Below are 18,774 nucleotides of genomic sequence, written 5' to 3'. Positions count from 1 at the left end.
GTTAGGAGGCACCTGGGCAGGGGGTCCAGGCTCTGTGGGCAGTTTGGGGAAGGTTGGAAGGGGCTGCACCTGGCAGTGAAGAAAACCTGCAAGGCGATGGAGGTTGGGGGTGCATTGGCGGATCGTGCTTCTAGCAGCCCACTGTTTGGGGAGACCCTGAAGGCCACAGCGGCCTTGGCTGGCTCCTGCTGGCCTGCACCAAAGGGAAGGGAAGACACATGAGTGCAGGCAGCCCCATGTACTCCCACAGGAAGACTTTACCCACCCCCGGGCCTGTACCTCTGGTCTTGCTCAGCACTGCAGGGCAGGGCAACCCTGAGATCATGTGGGATTGGGGGACTGGCTGCTCTGCAGAAATTCCAAGTGGTGCCTGCCCTGGGAGCCAGCATGCAGGGACGGCGCACAGGGGCCCCTTCCTGGGGGGTCTTCTCTTGGCACAGCCCTGTAGGGGAACGGTGGGTAGGTGGCAGGGTAGGACATACCCATCAGCATAGTCCAGTAGCTTCGGCACCCGCTCAGGTTCATCAGGTAGACCTCCCGGACTCGCTGCTGGCTCACAAAGCAGGTCCCAAAGTCCACCCAGCTGGTGGAGAGCTGCAGCTCAGGCACGGCCACCACAGCCCGCAGGGGCACCACCTGTGGGAGACCAGGCAACCTTGTCCATTCTGGGTGGGCTCTGAGCCAGGGCCTCTGGGACACACAGAACCCTGCTGACCCCAAGTGCTGATGCTCCTGAAGAAAACGGGAAGCTCCCAGAAGTTGGCAGGGGACCAGCGCCACCTTAAAAGGCCACAGGCTGCTACTGGGAGTCTGCACAGGGAAAGGGCCAGGGTGATGCCATCCATTCCCCCGCTGTCCCTGCCTCCCTAACTCATAAAGCTTCAGTCCCTGCACCCTGGCTGGTTGGGCTCTGCCCTCCTTCACTGCTCCTCCTGTGGTGGCCCCCAAGGCCCAGCCCTCAGCTCCTCTCAGCCGTGGACCATTTGTCTGTGTTCCTTGGCCGCAGGCCCCACCTGTGCCCTCCTCTATCTCCTGGCAGCCCCTGCATCACACTCAGGCACTGCCATGCACCATCCCACAGCCTCAGCCCCAGCAGCTGCCCAGGTGCCAGGCTAGAGCGCCTCGGCTCCACTGCTCAGCCTCCTGCCCCCGGCCTCTCTAGAGTCTTCCCCAGGCCACTCCTTCACACTCCTTACTAGCAGCCCCTGCTTAGCCTCCACACTACGGCCTGGTGACCTGGTCCATGGTGCTCGCCCTGGTGCTTGAAGCCTGGCAAGCCCCAGGGCTGTCCTTCGCAGCTGCTTCAGGTGCTCTGTCCCACCCATCAGGCCTTTCTTTTGGCCTGGCTGTCAACGTGTTTCCCTTCCTTGATTAAATGGTGTTCAGGCTTCATGTCCTTCCTCCCGCAGGGAGCCTTCCCTGATTTCCCACACTCTGGCCCCTCACCTGGTTTTGAGCTCATGAGGCAGGTGAGGTTGGATGGCCCTCATCTCTCTGCACACAGGGCCTCTTCTAGGGGAGACTGAGCCCCAGGACAGGGGCAGGGGCTCCTTATTTCTGAGGGCCCTGCTAGGTCTTTCCTCCTCTGGCCCCAGCAGAACACAGCCCAGCCCACTTCCACCCTCCTCCACATGTAGGTGGGCCTGGGGCGTGCCTGAGTGGTCTGGTTGGTGTACTCCAGGAGCAGGTTCTGAGTAAACACCATCTCTCTCTCTCCACTCGCACTCTGCTGAATGTCCACCCCAGGCAGTGTCTGGTCAGCTGGGAGCTTCTGATAGGAGAGCAGCTCCAGGGAGAGTGAGAAGGACACGTTCACCTGAGCAGATGTGGACATGGTGTCAACTCCGGCTGCAGAGGGCAGGTGGCCACTTCCCCACCTGGAGCTCCATCCTCCTTTCCTCCCAGGCCCAGCCTTGCCCAGCCAACAGCCCAGCAGCTCCCCAACCTGGTGCTTTCATTCCACAAGCGCTGCCCAGCACCTACTCTGCCCAGCACCCTGCTAGTGTCAGGGACAAGTCATGTCTGCCCTCAGAGGTCAGAGGCTAGAAGGGAAGGGACATGAGCAAGTTGCCCTTTACAGCTTCAAATGCCCAGGGCTGTGGTTGGGCTCAGAGGCAGAGGAAGGACTTGGTCTGTGTGCTGAGGATAGTGAGGAGCCTCTGACAGGTCACTGACCTGGTGGGGAGGTGGGCTGCAGACCACACATGAGTGTGATGATGCCAGACCAGGGGCTGAGGCTGTAACTGAGGCTGGACAGGATGAAGCTTGGACTCCTGGCTCCCAGCACAGGTCCTTGGTACAAGCTTCTCAGAATCAACGGTGAGGCACTTGTTAAAAATATAAATTCTTGCGCCTCACCCAGACCTTCACATGTCTGGAGGTGGGGTCTGGGAGCTGCTGCCTTAACAAGCTTTGTCAAGGGTACTAATTTGCTGGGAGCAGTGGCTTACATCTGTAATCCCAGCACTTTGGGAGGCTGAGTTGGGAGGATCGCTTGAGCCCAGGAGTTCAAGACCAGCCTGGGCAATATAATGAGACCTTATCTCTGCAAATAATAGCTGGGCATGGTGGCATGCACCTGTGGTCCCAGCTACTTGGGAGGCCGAGGTGGGAGAATTGCTTGAACCCCCCAGGCAGTCGAGGCTTCAGTGAACCATGATCACGCCACTGCACTCCGGCCTAGGTGACACAGCAAGACCCAATCTAAAAAAAAAAAGGCCACTGATCTATTGCCAGGCTTAGAAACTGCTGTCCTAAACCAAGATATGGGTGTAGGGATGAAGAAAAGAGAATAGTGTTGGGAGAACTTTAGGAGGGGGCATCCGCAGGGCTTGGTGGCTTGGTCAGAGATGGGTCTAGGACAAGGGGTGCCAGAGCTCTGGGCATGAGCAAGGGGGCTGGGGTTGGTATTTGCTGAGACAAAATGCCACCACAAAAAGGAGGCACAGATGTGGGGCAGGACAAGGTGGGGAGGGGATGGGGAGTTCACTTTGGACAGATTGAGTTTGGCTCTAGAGCCTGGGAGATAATTCTGGCCAGGAGCCAGAAGCCTGAGCATTGTTAGCGCATGGAGGGTGAGATGCAGCACCATTAATTATGTGATGTCCTTTTTCTGGAACTTTTGGGCTTCCCCAGAGCTGCCAAGGACTTTTAAATGCCTGGTGGCTAACCGCCGTGTCTCCTTGGAAGCTCTGGTGGAATGGAACCTCTGGCTGTGCTCTGGGCCTTCCCATCCATTTAGCTCGTTGAAGGGAGCAAACGCAAAGTGGGTCAAGGGTGCCATTCTGTCTTCTGCAGATCCGTGTGTGTCCCTGACCTCCATGATGAGGTCCTCGGGGAGTACCATCACCTAGCACAGCATCTAGTACACAGCAGGCCCTCGCTACACAGTGGAGTATACATTGGATAGAAATAATATGGCTGTTCACTGAGGCTCTGGAAATGGATGAGACAACCCAGAAATGTGCAGAGTGAGGCTAGGACCTGGCAGAGCTCAAGGGAGCACAGCATAAAGGGAAGCCCTCCGAGAAGAAGAAAGAGGGCCTCTGAAGCAGGAGGGGAAGTAGGAGACAGGGCGGCGCTGTCTACCCTCAGCCTGCCTCTGCACACCCTGGAAGCCCACTGTGCAGATATGGGTGTGCGCACACTCAGCCTCATTCCAGTTGCCTCAGAGACCAGAGGAAGTTGATGGTTTCCAGTGAGGTCCTGACATTCCCAAGACCTTCCCCTACCTAACCAACTCTGAAAATCCAGGATCCAATTGTCACTGAGAATAAGTCAGAAGAGGAAATTTTACGTTAGAACCTGGAGTGTCTTACAATTATGGCAACCCCATGGGCTCACCTGAGCTGGGACACAAACCCTGAGCTTGCACAGGAGGACGGAGTCTGTGTGTGTGGGAAGGGGAGGTGCTCACAGGAATGCATCAGCCTCCACCAGCATCTCAGCAGTGGGGACTAAGAGGGAAAGGGAAGTCTGGGGACATTTATGGAGCACGTGCATGCATGTATGTGAACACAACGTCTGGTGTGGCCATGCCCATGTGAGCCACTTGTGCAGAGGTGCTGAATGTGGTGTCTCTGGTGGGAGTGCACCCCCGAGTGTTCATGCAGGGTATGGCAGGGTCAGGCATGCAGTTTGCGTCTGGGTACAAGCACCTGAGGGTGGCGTGCAGGGGTGCTGTCTGTACACATGTGAGGGTGTGCCATCGAGGCAAGGGCTGCAGACTCCCCCACTGACCAGCATGTTCTCCTGTGCTTGGAGCACCAGCTGCTTGTCCGCTGAGGCTGTCTCCTCCTCACACTCCTGCTTCTGGCCAGGGCCAGGAGCTCTGTGGTCCTGGCTCGCCCCATCTTGAGAAACGGAGAAGGGCCTGGAGACCATAAGCCGGAAGTAGTGTGGGATCTCTGTAGTGTTGGTCAGCTTCAGGTGGTGGGTGGTCACCAGCTCACTCAGCACCTGGGCAGCCACAGAGGTAGGAGGCAGGGAATGCATCTTGTCTCTCTCTTCAACCCCATGGCTCTAGGGTAGGGCTGGGAGGGCTGGGGGAGGGGATTTGGGCTCAGACTATAAGGCCTGAGTCCCACAAGGGCACACAGAGACATCTGAGGTCCAGGTAAGCTGGCAGGGCCAGAGGGTGGCAGCACACTCACCCCAGAGCAGGGCTGCTCGGGAATGAGGTCACTGGCCTGGCACTGGAATTCCATACTGCCGCCGTAGTCCAGCTCCACACTTAGCCTGCCCAGCAATAGGCATTGTTGGGGCAAGCCGGGCGCCTGGGGCCTTCTGGCTGCCCCCACTCTGCTCATCCAGCCTCGGGCCAGCCTTTCCCTGGGCTCCTCTGCTGACTTCTCCACCCATGCCCGTCCTTTTGCTCTGAGAACCCTGCCTGGCTCCACCAGTGCCTGGTGAGGGTGCACCCCATGGGGATGAAAGGAGATGGGGCACCCCAGCTGACTCACTGTGCAGGCCTCACGTAGCTATGCAGGTCCAGTTTCAGGGGTCCCACCGCAAAGTCCTGCAGGCGATGCCTCTTCCCTGGAATCTCCCTTTCCACCTACTGAGCCCAAGTCTGATCACAGCTGATCCCTGGGCTGAGTAGGCAGCATGCTACCCAGGAGGGAGCAGTGGCTGCGGCCCCCACCCCAGGCCGGAAGAGCTCACCTTGCTGTCCAAGCTCATGAAACCCAGGGCGTAGCCAGTACACTCCACCTTGTGCAGGATCTCAGGGCTGAGCACCATAGGGGTGAAGGAGATGTAGATGGTACTGCTGCCCCCAGCAGGGACCACCTGGCATAGACACAGCAGCCTTAGCACTGTCCCATGCCCACTGGCCGGCCAATGCAGACAGCTCCCAGCCCATACCCCAACTCACCACCTGCTTGGGGCTGATACAGTACAGGTGGCCGGAGGGCACCCCCTCATGTGCCTGCAGGATGACTGAGATGAGCTTCTGTGCCACCCTATTGCTGGCACTGGAGCTGCCCTCAACCTGTCACCAAGGAATCACTGAGGTTCACGCAGTCACTGAGGTTCAACTAGCCTACTGGCCACACCTCAGTGGCCCTCAGTGGCCAGCCTGCCCCGCCCCTCCACCCCTGCTCACTGATGAGTCAGTTTCATGGCTGAATTCCGATGAACTGGAGGGGCCTGGGGACCAGAGGAGGCAGCCACCCTCAGGGGTATCAGGGCACACAAGCTCATTCCCGGCTTGGTCCCGCAGCGGGAAAGGTGGCCCATAAAACACCAGCAGCTCCACCAGCCGGTCTTCCTTGTCTTCTGGAACATAGGTCTCCCAATCCAGGCGGATGTCTGGGGCAGATGTGTGGAGCAGGGTGAGGAATAAGGGAGGAGCAGACAACCCCCCGGGGCCCCCTCCTCCTCATACCCCCAGACAGAGATGACCTATTCTCCCATACCCAGGTGGAGGGGGTGCCTCTCTGCCTCTCTAATGCCACTTCCAGGCAATTCTCATTTAAAATTTTAAAAAGGCTTTACAGGCTTATGCCGTTTGGCTCTATCACCTGAAGTCCTCATGGTCACAAGACCAGGTCTCCATGTCCAGATGCCTGAATGCAGGTGCTCTGCTCTCTCCCACAGCTGCTTCTCCTTCCGGCCTGTTTGTGGGCAGGCTGGGCTCTCTAACCCCCACATGCCCTTCCTTCTCCCCATCTATCCATCAGCCTATGTCAGCTTTCACGTCCTTCCCCAGGCAGACTAGTCTTTGGGGGCCGCCATGTCCACCTCTGTCTTGCCAGCATCCTCGTATCTCCCTTTGCACCCACCTGGCAACACCTAACCCTGAAAGAACTGAACTGTGCCGTCCCTCTGAGTACCACTGGGGGAAGTCCCCCAGCTGAACAGATTGCCACCCCCATCAATCTGTCCCCAACCTAAGCTGGGGCTCCCCATTGCTCTCTCTCCAGCCTGCACCATGACAATGTCAAGCTGTCCCTGCCCTCCTCTGACACCTCCATCTGCCTTCCCACACCCAGCCGGTAGCCCCACCTCATCTCCCAGAAGCCCCCAAGCTGAGAAGTCCCCAAAGTCCTGTCCCAAACCTAGACATCTGCCTGCATCGAACCCATCTTCCCCTCCCCTCCTGCCTTCAGTCCTGCTCGCAGCTCTCCTCAGGGGCAGGCATGGCCAGGGCCCCCTCTTCAGTGTCACCAGCTTCCTCTCCTAACCCTTTCTCAGGCCCAGAGCACTCTTTGCCCCCACATGCTCCCCTGGCCCACATCGGCTTACCCTTCCTCTTAGACTCAGCCTACACTCTGCCTCCCCTCCACAGGGGAGCCTGGCCCTTCAACACGTTCCCCCAGCACTCCGGCCTTCCCTTCAGTTGTATGCCACACACTCCACACACTGCAGTCCACAGTCACATCTGTCCCACCCATCAGGAGGGAAGCCCCTCGGCAGAAACCCTGCTGTCCTGTCCCCGCTGTATCCCCAGCAGCTCTCAGGCAGGTCAGGTCCTGCCGGCTGGAGGAATGAGAAAGGGATCCCCTCTTATTGTCTGTTCCTCCAAACAGCAACCCTGATGAGAGCAGGGCATCTGTGGGCCCATCCACACTTCCGTAACCACAGGCCCCCTGGACACCTGGGTCCTGTTCATGGGCCATCGGCTTCCCTCCCACCTTCCCTCCCAGCCTGGCTCACCACAAGGCACAGCCTGTGGCAAGAACACTGACTTCTCTCATGCATGTCTTACCACAGGGGCTGGAGTTATTCAGGCGAAGGGTTCGGGTAACTGTGTCTCCTCCGGAGACCTGGGTGCCGAACCTGGAGGGGGACAGACTGGACTCAGTACAGCCACAGCCAGCGTACACCTTGCAGGTAGGGAGGAGGGCTGGGACTGGGGGCTCAGGCAGGGGGAAATACCACAGTGGTCTGGCCTCACTCGAGAATTAATGAGACCTGGGGCTGGTGCCTTCCCCAGGCGGCACCAGGTGAGCTGGGCTCTGGGGCTGCCCTGTGCCCTGGCAACCCACCCACCTGCCCTGAGCAGACTATGCTGATTCCAGTTCAACTGTGCCAGGGGCCCCAGGGCTGGTGCTGACCTCGGACCACACTGACTACTCGCCACTTCTGCCCCACAAAATCCCTCAGAGATGTCCAGGTGGTGGCCACGTCCCCTGAGGCCACCTTCCCCCAGGGAAACCCTGGCCTGGAACCTTCTTGTAGGTGGCACCAATGGCCCTAGGCCAGCTGGAGAATAACAAGCCAACGTGGGCAGCCCAGCCCGGAGGCCGGAGGGTTTCAGGGGCTACCAGGGAGCAGAGGCTCAGGCTGAGCATGGAGCACCTCATGGCTGGTTCCTTCTGGGCCTGGTCAATAGTGTAGGAGGTGGTCCTCAGGGAGCTGATGGGGCAGCCCACCGCTGCCATGTGCACTGGGATGACTTCCGGCAGCAGGTCTCCCACCTGCAAACACACCCCAGCCCTTTGTCACTCCTGTCACCGGTTGCGACCACATCCCCTCTGGGCAAGGCCTCCACTTGTCCAGCCAGCCCAGGGGCCCCACAGTTTGGTCCCAGCCTCACTGTGTACCACTCTGTCTTCTCTCCCACTTCCCGCCATCTCCACTCTCCCTCCCAGCCAGGCAGCCTGCACAAAGCTCCCAGCCTGAGGACTTTTTTTTTTTTTTTTTTTTTTAGTAGACACAGGGTCTTACTATGTTGCTCAGGCTGGTCTCAAACTACTGGCCTCAAGCAATCTTCCTGCCTCAGCCTCCTAAAGTGTTGGATCTACAAGTGTGAGCCACTGCACCTGGCAAGCCTGAGGCTCTTCGGCCTCTGGTAGTCCCTTTGATCAAATTTCTGTCTTTTAAATGAAAAGAACTTTATTACTTTTCTCTGCTAATCAAAAGTAATAAATCTTATTTTTAGAAAATATAAGAGTGTGATAATCACCTCCAATCCTACCTCTGCAGCATGACTTACTGTTAGCATTTCAGTGTACAAGTGTCTACACTTCTTTTGTGAAGACCCAGATATAAATGGGGAGCATGCTGCACATGCCTTTAATAATCTTTTCTTTTAACAATATAGGATTATTATTATTATTATTATTATTGAGACAGAGTCTTGCTCCATCGCTCAGGCTGGAGTGCAGTGGCATGATCTCGGCTGACTGCAACCTCTAACTCCTGGGCACAAGTGATCCTCCCACCTCAGCCTCCTGAATAGCTGGGACCAGAGACATATGCCATCACGCCCAGCTAATTTTTGTATTTTTTGTAGAGAAGGGGTTTTGCCATGTTGCCCAGGCTGCTCTCAAACTCCTGAGCTCAAGACATCCACCCACCTCAGCCTCCCTAAGTGCTGGGATTACAGGCATGAACCACTGCACCCAGCGAACAATATAGGATTAATTTTTACTAATAAAGAGTTTACAGCATCATATAACAGGCTGTGCAGAATTCCCTTAGGGATGTGGCCCAATGTCTGTATCCACTCCTCTACTGACAGACGTGGAGAAGGGGGCTCAAAGCACCCTTTCCCCTGTATCTTCACCAACAACTTTTAAACCTCGCTAATGTGTCAAAACCAGTATTTTGTGGCTCTTTTATTTTGCATTTCTTTAATTATCAGTGGTGGTGACAGATTTTAATATGTTTATTGGCCGTCTGTCTGTATTTGTCTTTCTTGGAGTTGTTTATTCAAACCTTGCCCACTTGGGATACTCTTCCCCAGCTTCCTGTTACTTAAGATCCCTTTTTATATTAACATGATCAATTCTTTGTCATACAGAACACACACAATTTAAAGCAAATATCTACTATAATTAATCTGTTCAATTTACTAAATAGTTCATGAAAATCTTCTATTTAACAACTTAACGGTAGGATAACGTATGCAGGTTTCATCCCTCCAGACTAAACTAGGGGTGCCTTGCTGGTTACCTTATTCATCCCTGTATCCTCCACACTACAGCGGCCCACACAGGAACCCACACACAGTAGATACTCCATTTATGCTGAGTGCTGGAGCAATTAAATGGACCCCTGGGTGAGCCCCACCAAGGGCGGGGCAAGGACCTGGCTCTGGGAGGCTGCTACTGTCCCTCCACTCCACACTCCCTACTCCAAGTCTTGGGTCCTGGCCCAGGCAGCAGCCTACTGTCTCCTCTTCCCTCCTCGATATGGCCCCAGCCCTGCATCTCCTGGGAAAAGGTGTGGAAAGTTCTACTGCTTATGAGGACCCCTCCTGCCTGAAATGCCTCAGCCAGAACCCCAGAGGCTGCCTCAGACACGAATGCCCATCCCAAGCTCGGTGGGCATCGCGTTTCAACCTGGTGAGGTTTGAGAGTCTGAGGGCCAGGTGTTGGAGGGGAGAGAGGCTGAAGGCGAGGGCTGGGCAGACTCTCCACCCCCCAGGCCACTGCCCTCTTGTGTACCCTTACCGTGCAGATGAGGTTGTCCCAGTACTCGCCCCACATGTTGGCACAGCCTGTGATGTCAATGCACAGCTGCTGGTAGGGCCCCAGCATGCCCTGGGAAAAGTGAGGGAAGAAAGCAGCTCCTTTCCCGTGGGATAGCATGCTCTCCATAAAATCTGGGAAAGAACCGCGACTGTGGGGGATTCACGGGCCTGGGGTTGGGAGTGAGGTCCAAACCCTCGTGTGTGAGCAAAGCACTGTCCCCGATAAGCCACCCTCCAGCCTCTCCTTGGTCAGGCTACATGTGCCCTCCTCCTGGGAGCCTGGAATCCAGAGGCAAGCTACTCAGGGTCCTGCGTGGTCAGCCTCTCTACTCCCTGAGAGGCTGGGTCCCCATGGGAGCCCTCCCTCATGAGCCACTCCCATCCCAAATGGAGTCCAGGCCCTGTGCATGAGCCTGTGCCCTAGAAGGGAAGTGGCCTCAACAGGAAGAGGCATTGTCAGGTGGAGCGCCTTGGCCATCTGAGAGCAGTCTCTGGTCCTGGTCCCGCTCCCTGGCAGCTGCCAGCCCACATCCACAGAAGGCTGTGGCTCTGGCCGTGGCCTGGGCCCCGAAGCCCCACCCTGGTGGCGCTTACCCAGCTGCTCTCGCTTGGCCAGGTGCTCTTGCATCCGCACTGTCTTTAGCAGGGCAGGAGGCATGTTGGGACTTTACAAGTGGAGACACAGAAATAGTATCAAGTCAGACAAGCCTGTCCCAAGACCTGAGCCAGGTTCTAGAGCAACCAGCATTCTACCAGGTGCCCAGCAGAGGAAGGTGGCCCTGCCTGCTCTTCCCAGGGGAGAGCTGGTCAGTTCTTTCCTTTACCTCCTTCTCTGGTCTTTGCTCCCACTGTACCCCTACCATTCAAACATCCCCAGCTGCGGGCCACCCGCCAGCTGCAGGGATTACCTCCCCAGAAACCCAGGCGGGCTCTGAAGCAGGACTCCCTGCCCACAGGCTCTGTGCCATGGTTACTCCTGGACACAAACCCAGCCCAGACTCCCCATCTCTAGCCCAGAATTCTGCAACAGGCCCATTTCCAGTTTTTCCTGCTGACATCTGTCCAGCATTGGGTACACACTAGCTTTCCACAATAGAAAGTTAATGCCTTATAAACTGTTCATGGGTCGCCTTCCACCCATAGCCGTGGTTTCTAAGTTGGGCCCTCTTGCTTCACTAGATTAGGTGGTGAGGTGTCCACACAGTGGAGATTCCAGAAAAAAAAAGTCCTAAATTATAATGTTTGATTTCAAGTTAGAGATTTGCAAAATTCCTGAATATTTAACAATCAGTTCTCCTGAACCAGTGCTAGCTGGTTCTGGCACACCTATGTGTATGTGTGTATGTGGGTGTGTGTGTATATGAGCATGTATGTATGTGCATATGTATGTATGTTTATGTATATGTGTGTGTGCATGTGTATATGTGTATACATATGTGTATGTGTGTATATTTGTGTCTATGCATGTGTATGTATATGTGTATATGCATGTGTGTATGTGTGTATGCATGTGTATATGTATGTGTGTATGCATGTGTGTGTATATGTACGTGTGTGTGTGTGTGTGTGTCTGTGTAAGCAGCACTCTAGATCTTGCCTCTGTCCTTACACATAGTAGCTTTGCTGATCACTGTCTGATCTATGGGGCACCCCATCTCACTCTCCACATGTCAGCCCAGGCACGCTATCAGTGGTCCCTGAAGACTCCCTACTCCTGAACTATTCCTCCCACCCTTTGGCCTGCACAGTTCCTTCTGTCTACAGTAACCTCTCCCTCACTACAGGCCCATCTGCCTGGTCCATCAGAAGCCTCCACTCCAGCAGGCCAGGCTGAGGAAAAGGGGCCGCAATCCCAGCCTCTCCCACACGCCCACTCAGGGCCCGGGAGGTGGACAGCAGGAGCCATTTCCTCTCTGCCTGTCCCCATGTCTACCTGTAAAAACACACACTCCCATCTCTCACACCGACCAGCCACTGGCCACCTAAGCCACACAGAGGCTCAACAGGGTACACCCCATCCAGCTTCATCTGCCCTGGGAAGTGAAAGAAGCAAGACTTACAGGCTGGTCTTTTTGCTCAGGCTGTTTTGGGGGCTCCCGAAATACTCAAACTTGAGGGAGAAACGGGTCCGTATTGGGGAGCGATTGGTGAGAATGAGCTGGCGAGTCACACGGGTCCTCAGTGGCACCGCTGAGCCAAAGTCCAGGCGGAGCTCCTTTGGGTGGCCTGGCCACTGCTCTGTGCTGAAAACACTGTCCTGTGCCCATTGGTACTATGTAACACACCACCCTTGGCCCTGCCCAGGGAGCCATCTTGGGTGGGCATGCAGAAGCTGCCCAGACACCAGGCTTCATCCTCAGACTCCTGTTTCATTGAGCTGCCAACCACAGACCCACCTTTCCTGCCCACCCATGATGCTGAGAGAGGCCTCAAACTCTGCACAAACCGTCCCTGGCCAGCGGCATGCTGGCATGGCTCCCAGTTGCTGGGCCTCATGTGGGCAAGCCCAGGGTACCTACAGCCCTGTCCCCTGCCATCTCCTGCCTGCCAGGGCACCACGCCTCCAAGTGTGTGTGGGGAGACCACACAGAGGGCAGGGATGGGGTAAAGGGAGCTGTCCCCACAGGAGTGGTGAGTGGCCGCAATAACACTGTGGCGTTTTCCTGCCTGCAGGAATCAGATGGGCGCAGACTGATACCACAGTGCCGTGCTGGTCCTGGGCGCGGCTGCCTCATTCCTCAGTCCACTGCCACCCCCAGACCACCAACCCTGGGCTCACCTGCAATCAGAGCTCTCCTTAGAGATGGTAATGGCCACTTGCAGTCCCTGGGGCTTCCCAGAAATGCCTAGAACCAGTGGCTTCTTCATGCCTGACACGTGACAAGGGAGGGCCAGATGGGTCAGCTCTTCCTATAAGAAAGCCCATCCAGGGGTCAGACCAGGCCTGGGGCCTCTGAAGATGAGCCCAGATGGTCTTCCGCAGCACAGGGGATTGCTGTGGAGCCTTGACCTCTGGCCAGGCTCATCTCCAGTCCCTCCAGTGAGCCCAGCCAGTCGACCCGCCCTCAGCCCCAGGAAGCCTGGCCCTTTCCTCAGGCCTTATGGCTGTCTGAGTCTGCCCCAAATATCTGGGCATGCCCACGTGAAGGGAGACCCCTCAGAGAGGGCCTCTGGAGAAGCTGCGCACTTCCTCTGATGAAGCTGCTACCCTAGAAATCAAACCCTCCCTGAGCAAGATCTGTTCCACACCTGGGCCTGCCTGTCTGTCGTCCCAGAGCTCAGGCCGGCCATCCCCATATTTGCCAGGGGGAGCTGAGACCTGAGTTTGCAAGTCTCTGTAAGGAGGAAGTTTCTTTTCCCACAAGAACCACAAAGGGACAGCTAGGAACGGCCCTATGACTGAGCATATTCCACCCTGGTGGCCTCCAGCGGGAAACCTAGGTACCAGTTAGCCTCCCTGGGTAGTACCTGGCACAGTGCCTGCTGTGAGCAACAGCTCTGCTCTGGATCTCTGGGCAAATCAGAAAGCTGGGCCCACCTGCGGCCACAGAGAATGGCCTGGGGAGGGCAAAAACTCATGCCAAAGGCCAGGCATGGCCAGTGGGTCTCAGGGCACATCCCCAGGCCTACTCCAGGCTCTCTGACCATGTGTCCCTAGGGAGCAGACCCAGCAGGAATGGGGACCCCAGACCCAAATGCAAGAAATCTCTTCCCCACCCACAAGAACCAGCAATGTGGCCTAAGCTAGGGCCTCCCTGGTGGCACAGGTGCGTATGGTTGGCAGGGTGCCTTCCCGGTCACTCAGGCCCTACATTGCCTTACTCACCTGGGTATGAGCAGTCAACTCCAACTTGAGCTGGCACTCCTCACTTGGGCCCAGCAGGCCATGTTTGGGGGAGACTGTCACCATGCAGAATTCTGCTTGGTGTCCGAGGAGCTGGCAGACACATGAGTGAGCCTGTTGTCACTTACTGGGCTCCCAGAATGGACCAGTATCCAGAGAGTGCTCAGCACTGCTGCATGCAATGCTGGAGACTGGCAGACTGGGGCCCACAGCAAAACCGACAGGGCTGGGTGCTCACTTCTGGGGATAAACCACGGGTCCCTTCTCCTCTCCTCCCCAACCCTGGATGGACTTTACCACTTGTTGGGAGGTTATCTGGACAAAAGAAACTGCCCTTGAAGGCCCCGAGGGATGGGGAGCAGAGGGCAGATGCTTCTGGTGCACATGGATGTGGCCTTATGTCCCATGACACTCAGAGCTCCCCAGTCAGCCACGGGCAGGAGCAGCACCACAACTGGGCTCCAACAGCTACCTGGGCCAGTCATGGGCTATGTTGGCTGGGAGGCTCTAGCTATGTTCACCAGAAACTCCTTCTTGGTCAGGGAACTGGAATTCCCTAGAGGCAGGGCAAGAAAAAGCTGGACCAGATATGCTGCTCCTTTGAGGAGCTTTTATGCACACTACGAGCAAGGGACAGGCTGTGGGAGGGAGGCTGAGTATCTCTGTTCTGTGAGGATATTTGGGGGACAATGCCCCCCTCTATGTGGGCCTCTGTGGCTGAGGGCTGCAGACTGCTGCCTGATGCTGTGGGCTCACTCACCTTGCCCCAGTGGAACTGGGTAGGCAGGAGCGTGCCATTGATAAGTGTGATGGTTGTCTTCGTGGGCACACCCAGGTAGAGATTTCTAACCTCCACCTGGCTGCTCTGTAGGTACACATGGGGCTTCTGTACCTCAGCATACACAGGAAGGTAGCTGGAACACGAGGAAACAAAAGGCATACTGATTAGAAAAGAAGAAGTAAAGCTGTCCCTATTTCTAGATGACATGCAGTCTATGTAGAAAATCCCAAGGTATCTATATTTTTAGAAACTCTAGAATTAATGAGTGGGTTCGGCAAAGTTTCAGGATATAAGATCAATATACAAAAATGAATCACATTTTTATATACTAACAACAAACATGTGGAAATCGAAATTTAAAATATAGTACCATTTATAATTGCTCAAAAAGTAGAAATCTCGGGTGTAAGAGAAATTGTTGCAAGAACACTCTGGGCTTATTTCAAAGTGGCTTATTTCACTTTTCCTCTGGGCGTATTTCAGAATGGTTACTTCCCCTCCCCATCCCACCCTGGCTAAACAAGAGAGAATTTTTTTTCCAGTTTTCACCATGAGAACCTACTGAGCCCCCAGGATTTTTAAACTCTTAAGCTAGCCTACACTTAGCCACCAGGAATTTGTTGAAACTACCATTTAAGTGTTCTTCTGCTTCAGGTAAACTGATCTGTATTCTCAGTATTTGCCTATATCTCCAGCTTTTGGGGTGGCCACTTGTCCTGCAACCTCAACTCTCTGATAGATCTAAGAAAAATCATTGTTTCAGTTTGTTCAGTCTTTCCTTGTTGTGAGAGCAGGAGCTTGATGGGCAAGCTCTTTACATGTCTGAACGGCTGAAGGTATTTTGTAGGTATGATTAATGTTCATAATCAGTTAAGTTTAAGTAAAGGAGATTATCCTAGATAATCTAGATGGGCCTAATTCAATTAGTTGAAAGGTCTTTTTTTTTTTTTTTTTTTTTTTTGAGATAGAGTCTCACTCTGTCACCCAGGCTGGGGTGCAGTGGTGCGATCTTGGCTCACTGCAACCTCTGCCTCCTGGGTTCAAGAAATTCTACTGCCTCAGCCTCCCGAGTAGCTGGGACTACAGGCATGTGCCACCATGCCAGGCAAGTTTTTGTATTTTTAGTAGAGATGAGGTTTCAGTGTGTTGGCCAGGTTGGTCTCAAACTCCTGACCTCAGGTGATCCTCCCACCTTGGCCTCCCAAAGTGCTGGGATTACAAAGGTGAGCTACCATGCCTGGCCACTAAAAGGTCTTAAAAGCAGAAATGGGCTTACCCAGACAAAGAAATTCCATGTGTTTATAACATCTTCATCTTGTCCCCAAAAATGCCAGCATGCCCTTCCTGAAAACCTGCCCTACAGATTTTAGGCTTGCCTAGCTAGTCCCTATAGTTGTGTAACCTGATTCTTTGTAATAAATGTCTTAATAGGTTATTAAGAAATAAATATTAAGCCTTGACTGATATAACCATATCAAGATAAATTCATATGTAAATACAAAGACAGAATAAATGTATTTTTGCTTACTTTTCTATCTGATTTAAAGGGCAACTATACAAACCAATAACTGTAAAACTGTCTTGATAAACCTATAATGTATAAATATGTAATTTGTATGACAATAATAGTACAAAGGAAGGGGAGAGAATAGAGCTGAGCTATATTACAGTAACATTTCAGACTACTGAAATTAAGTTGGTGTTAATCTAAACCAGACTGTTTTGAAATTAAGATATACTATAAAGCCCTGGACAACCAGTAAGAAAATAACTTTTTAAAAAGTAAAAGAAACATGGAAATTAAAATGGCATACTAGAAACTACCTATCTAACAAAGAAGAAGGCAATAATGGAGGAATGCAGGAAACACAAGGAATGCAGGAAACACAAAATACATACAGAAAACAAATAGCAAAACGGGAGATGAAGTTCTACTTTATCAGTATTTACATTAAATATAAAGGGATTAAACAATCCAATCAAAAGGCAGAGATTAGCAAAATGGATTTTAAAAAAATGATCCAAGTATATGCTGTTTACAAGAGACACTTTAGATTCAAAGACACAAATAGTTTCAAAGAAAAAGGATGGAAAAATATATATCATGCAAACAGTACCCAAAAGAGAGCTCCAGGAGATATATGAATGTTAGATAAAATAGGCTTTAAGACAAAAATGGTTATTAGAGACAATGAAGGATATTTTATAATTATAAAAAGATAAATTAGAAAGATATAACAATTATAAACATGTATGTATCTAACAACAGCACCACAAAATACATGAAGCAAAAACTGACAGAATTGAAGGAGAGATCAGCAATTCAACAATAATGGTTGGAGACTTCAACAGCCCATTTTTAATAATGGAAAAACAACTAACCAGAAGATAAACATTGAAATAGAAGATTTAAACAGCACTATAAACCAAACAGAACAGGCAACACTCTACACAATAACAGCAGAATACATTATTTTTCTCGAGTGCACAAGGAATATTCTCCAGAATAGCCCATAAAACAAGTCTCAATAAGTTTTAAACGACTATAATTATATAAAGTGGGTTCTCCAACAACAATAGAATCAAATTAGAAATCAACAACAGAAAGAAATTTGTGAAACAAAATATGTGCAAATTAAATAACACATTCATAAACAAGTCAAATAAGAAACCACAAGAAAAATTAGAAAATACTTTTATATCAATGAAAATGAAAACATGATATATGAAAAGTTATAGGATGCAACTAAGGGAGTGGTTAGAGGAAAATTTATATTTGTAAATACAATTTTCTTTAAACAAACAAAAAAGAAAGATTGCAAATCAAAAACCTCAGCTTTTACCTTAAGAAACTAGAAAGAGAAGAGCAAACTAAACCCAAAGCAAGTGGAAGGACAGAAATAATAAAGACTAGAAAGCAGAGATAAATGAAATAGAAAATAGAAAAACATTACAGAAAATCAACAAAAGCAAAAGCTGGTTCTTTGAAAATATCACCAACATTGATAAACCTTTAGCTAGACTAGACTGACCAAGAAAAATTTGCTGAAGATTCAAATTAGAGAAATCAGGAATGAAAGTGGGGACATCACTACTGATCATACAGAAATAAAAATAATTATCAGAGAATACCACTAACAACTATGTACCAACAAATTACATCACAGATAAAATGGACAAATTCCTAAATTCCTAGAGTGATGCAAACTACCAAAACTGAGAAAAAAAAAAAAATCTTTTTTTGGGGGGATGGGGTGGGGCATACAGAGTCTTGCTCTGTTGCCCAGGCTGGAGTGCAGTGGCACAATCTCGGCTCACTGCAGCCTCTGCCTCCCACGTTCAAGCTATTCTCATGCCTCAGCCTCCCGAGTAGCTGGGATTACAGGTGTGCACCACCACACCCGGCTAATTTTTGTATTTTTAGTAGAAATGGGGTTTCACCATGTTGGCTAGCCTGGTCTCGTACTCCTGACCTTAGGTGATCCGTCCACCTCAGCCTCCCAAAGTGCTGGGATTACAGTCATGAGCCACTGTGCCTGGCCAAGAAAAAAGTCTAAATTGACCTATATAAGAAATTCAGTTACAAACATACCTCATGTTATTATGCTCTGCTTTATTGTACTTCACAGATACTGTGATTTTTACAAATCGAAGGTTTGTGACAACGCTGCATTGAGCAAGCCTATCAATGTCATTTTTCCAATTGCATGTCCTCATTTCATGTCTCTGTGTCATGTCTTGCAAACTTTTTTGCTATAGCTGTTATGGTAACCTGTGATTAGTGATCTTTGATGTTACTACTGTAATTGTTTTGGGGTGCCATAAACAGCAATCATATACGATAATGGGCTCAACTGGTAAATGCTGTGTGCATTTTGACTGCTCTACTTACTGGTCATTTCCGTCTCTCTCCCTCTCCTCAGGCCTCCCTATTCCTTGAGACACAACAATATTGAAATTAGACCAACTGATAACCCTACAATAGCCTCTAAGTCTTCAAGTGAAAAGAAGAGTCGTACGTATCTCACTTTAAATCAAAATGATTAAGCTAAAAAATGATTAAGCTTAGTGAGGAAGGCACATTCAAAGCTGACACAGGCAGAAAGCTAGCTTTGTGCCAAACAGACAAATTGTGAATGCAAAGAAATGTAATATCTAGCAAATGCCCTATTTGTGAAAATTTTGAAGTAAAAGATAATAAAGCAAATAAAATGTTATGCAAACAAG

The 18,774-nt window shown here is 51.9% G+C and overlaps 1 protein-coding gene and 1 long non-coding RNA gene across 12 annotated transcripts in view, besides 2 other annotated features; one reads left to right on the top strand and one right to left on the bottom strand.

Moving 5' to 3' along the window:
* The window catches only part of DLEC1 (DLEC1 cilia and flagella associated protein), an 84,818-nt gene that overhangs the window by 1,762 nt on the left and 64,282 nt on the right, over positions 1-18,774 (bottom strand). For 2 of the 11 annotated variants that reach the window (XM_011534317.3, XM_011534318.3), the window contains 16 exons: positions 14,527-14,680; positions 13,749-13,859; positions 12,702-12,832; positions 11,983-12,174; positions 10,517-10,587; positions 9,903-10,054; positions 7,804-7,922; positions 7,211-7,281; positions 5,606-5,811; positions 5,375-5,491; positions 5,164-5,289; positions 4,962-5,056; positions 4,653-4,737; positions 4,240-4,458; positions 1,655-1,816; positions 483-636 (listed from right to left, as the gene is read on the bottom strand). In XM_011534317.3, the coding sequence (XP_011532619.1) occupies positions 483-636; positions 1,655-1,816; positions 4,240-4,458; positions 4,653-4,737; positions 4,962-5,056; positions 5,164-5,289; positions 5,375-5,491; positions 5,606-5,811; positions 7,211-7,281; positions 7,804-7,922; positions 9,903-10,054; positions 10,517-10,587; positions 11,983-12,174; positions 12,702-12,832; positions 13,749-13,859; positions 14,527-14,680 (2,165 nt within the window). Of the gene's footprint in view, positions 1-69; positions 194-482; positions 637-1,654; positions 1,817-2,667; positions 2,704-4,239; positions 4,459-4,652; positions 4,738-4,961; positions 5,060-5,163; positions 5,290-5,374; positions 5,492-5,605; positions 5,812-7,210; positions 7,282-7,803; positions 7,923-9,902; positions 10,072-10,516; positions 10,588-11,982; positions 12,180-12,701; positions 12,833-13,748; positions 13,860-14,526; positions 14,681-18,774 lie in introns of those variants that run through there. The other 9 variants (NM_001321153.2, NM_007335.4, NM_007337.4 and 6 more) reach the window with 9 other exon arrangements.
* The window catches only part of LOC105377033 (uncharacterized), an 18,861-nt gene extending 87 nt beyond the window's left edge, over positions 1-18,774 (top strand). Inside the window, exon 2 of the long non-coding RNA XR_940727.3 lies at positions 18,471-18,774. This is a non-coding gene — a long non-coding RNA (uncharacterized LOC105377033). The remainder of the gene's footprint in view (positions 1-18,470) is intronic.
* Positions 4,038-4,996: an enhancer, noted in NCBI's record as "H3K4me1 hESC enhancer chr3:38158759-38159717 (GRCh37/hg19 assembly coordinates)". NCBI's record gives its function as "activates a minimal SCP1, AML or CMV promoter by ChIP-STARR-seq in naive H9 embryonic stem cells {active_cell/tissue: H9 hESC(naive)}" and the evidence as "EXISTENCE:reporter gene assay evidence [ECO:0000049][PMID:30033119]".
* Positions 10,067-10,885: an enhancer, noted in NCBI's record as "H3K27ac-H3K4me1 hESC enhancer chr3:38152870-38153688 (GRCh37/hg19 assembly coordinates)". NCBI's record gives its function as "activates a minimal SCP1, AML or CMV promoter by ChIP-STARR-seq in primed H9 embryonic stem cells {active_cell/tissue: H9 hESC(primed)}" and the evidence as "EXISTENCE:reporter gene assay evidence [ECO:0000049][PMID:30033119]".

This window comes from Homo sapiens, chromosome 3, assembly GCF_000001405.40.
Source record: "Homo sapiens chromosome 3, GRCh38.p14 Primary Assembly".
Classification (NCBI taxonomy): domain Eukaryota; kingdom Metazoa; phylum Chordata; class Mammalia; order Primates; family Hominidae; genus Homo; species Homo sapiens.
The sequence above is the reverse complement of the archived record's forward strand: the minus strand, read 5'-3'. Positions and strand labels throughout refer to the sequence as shown.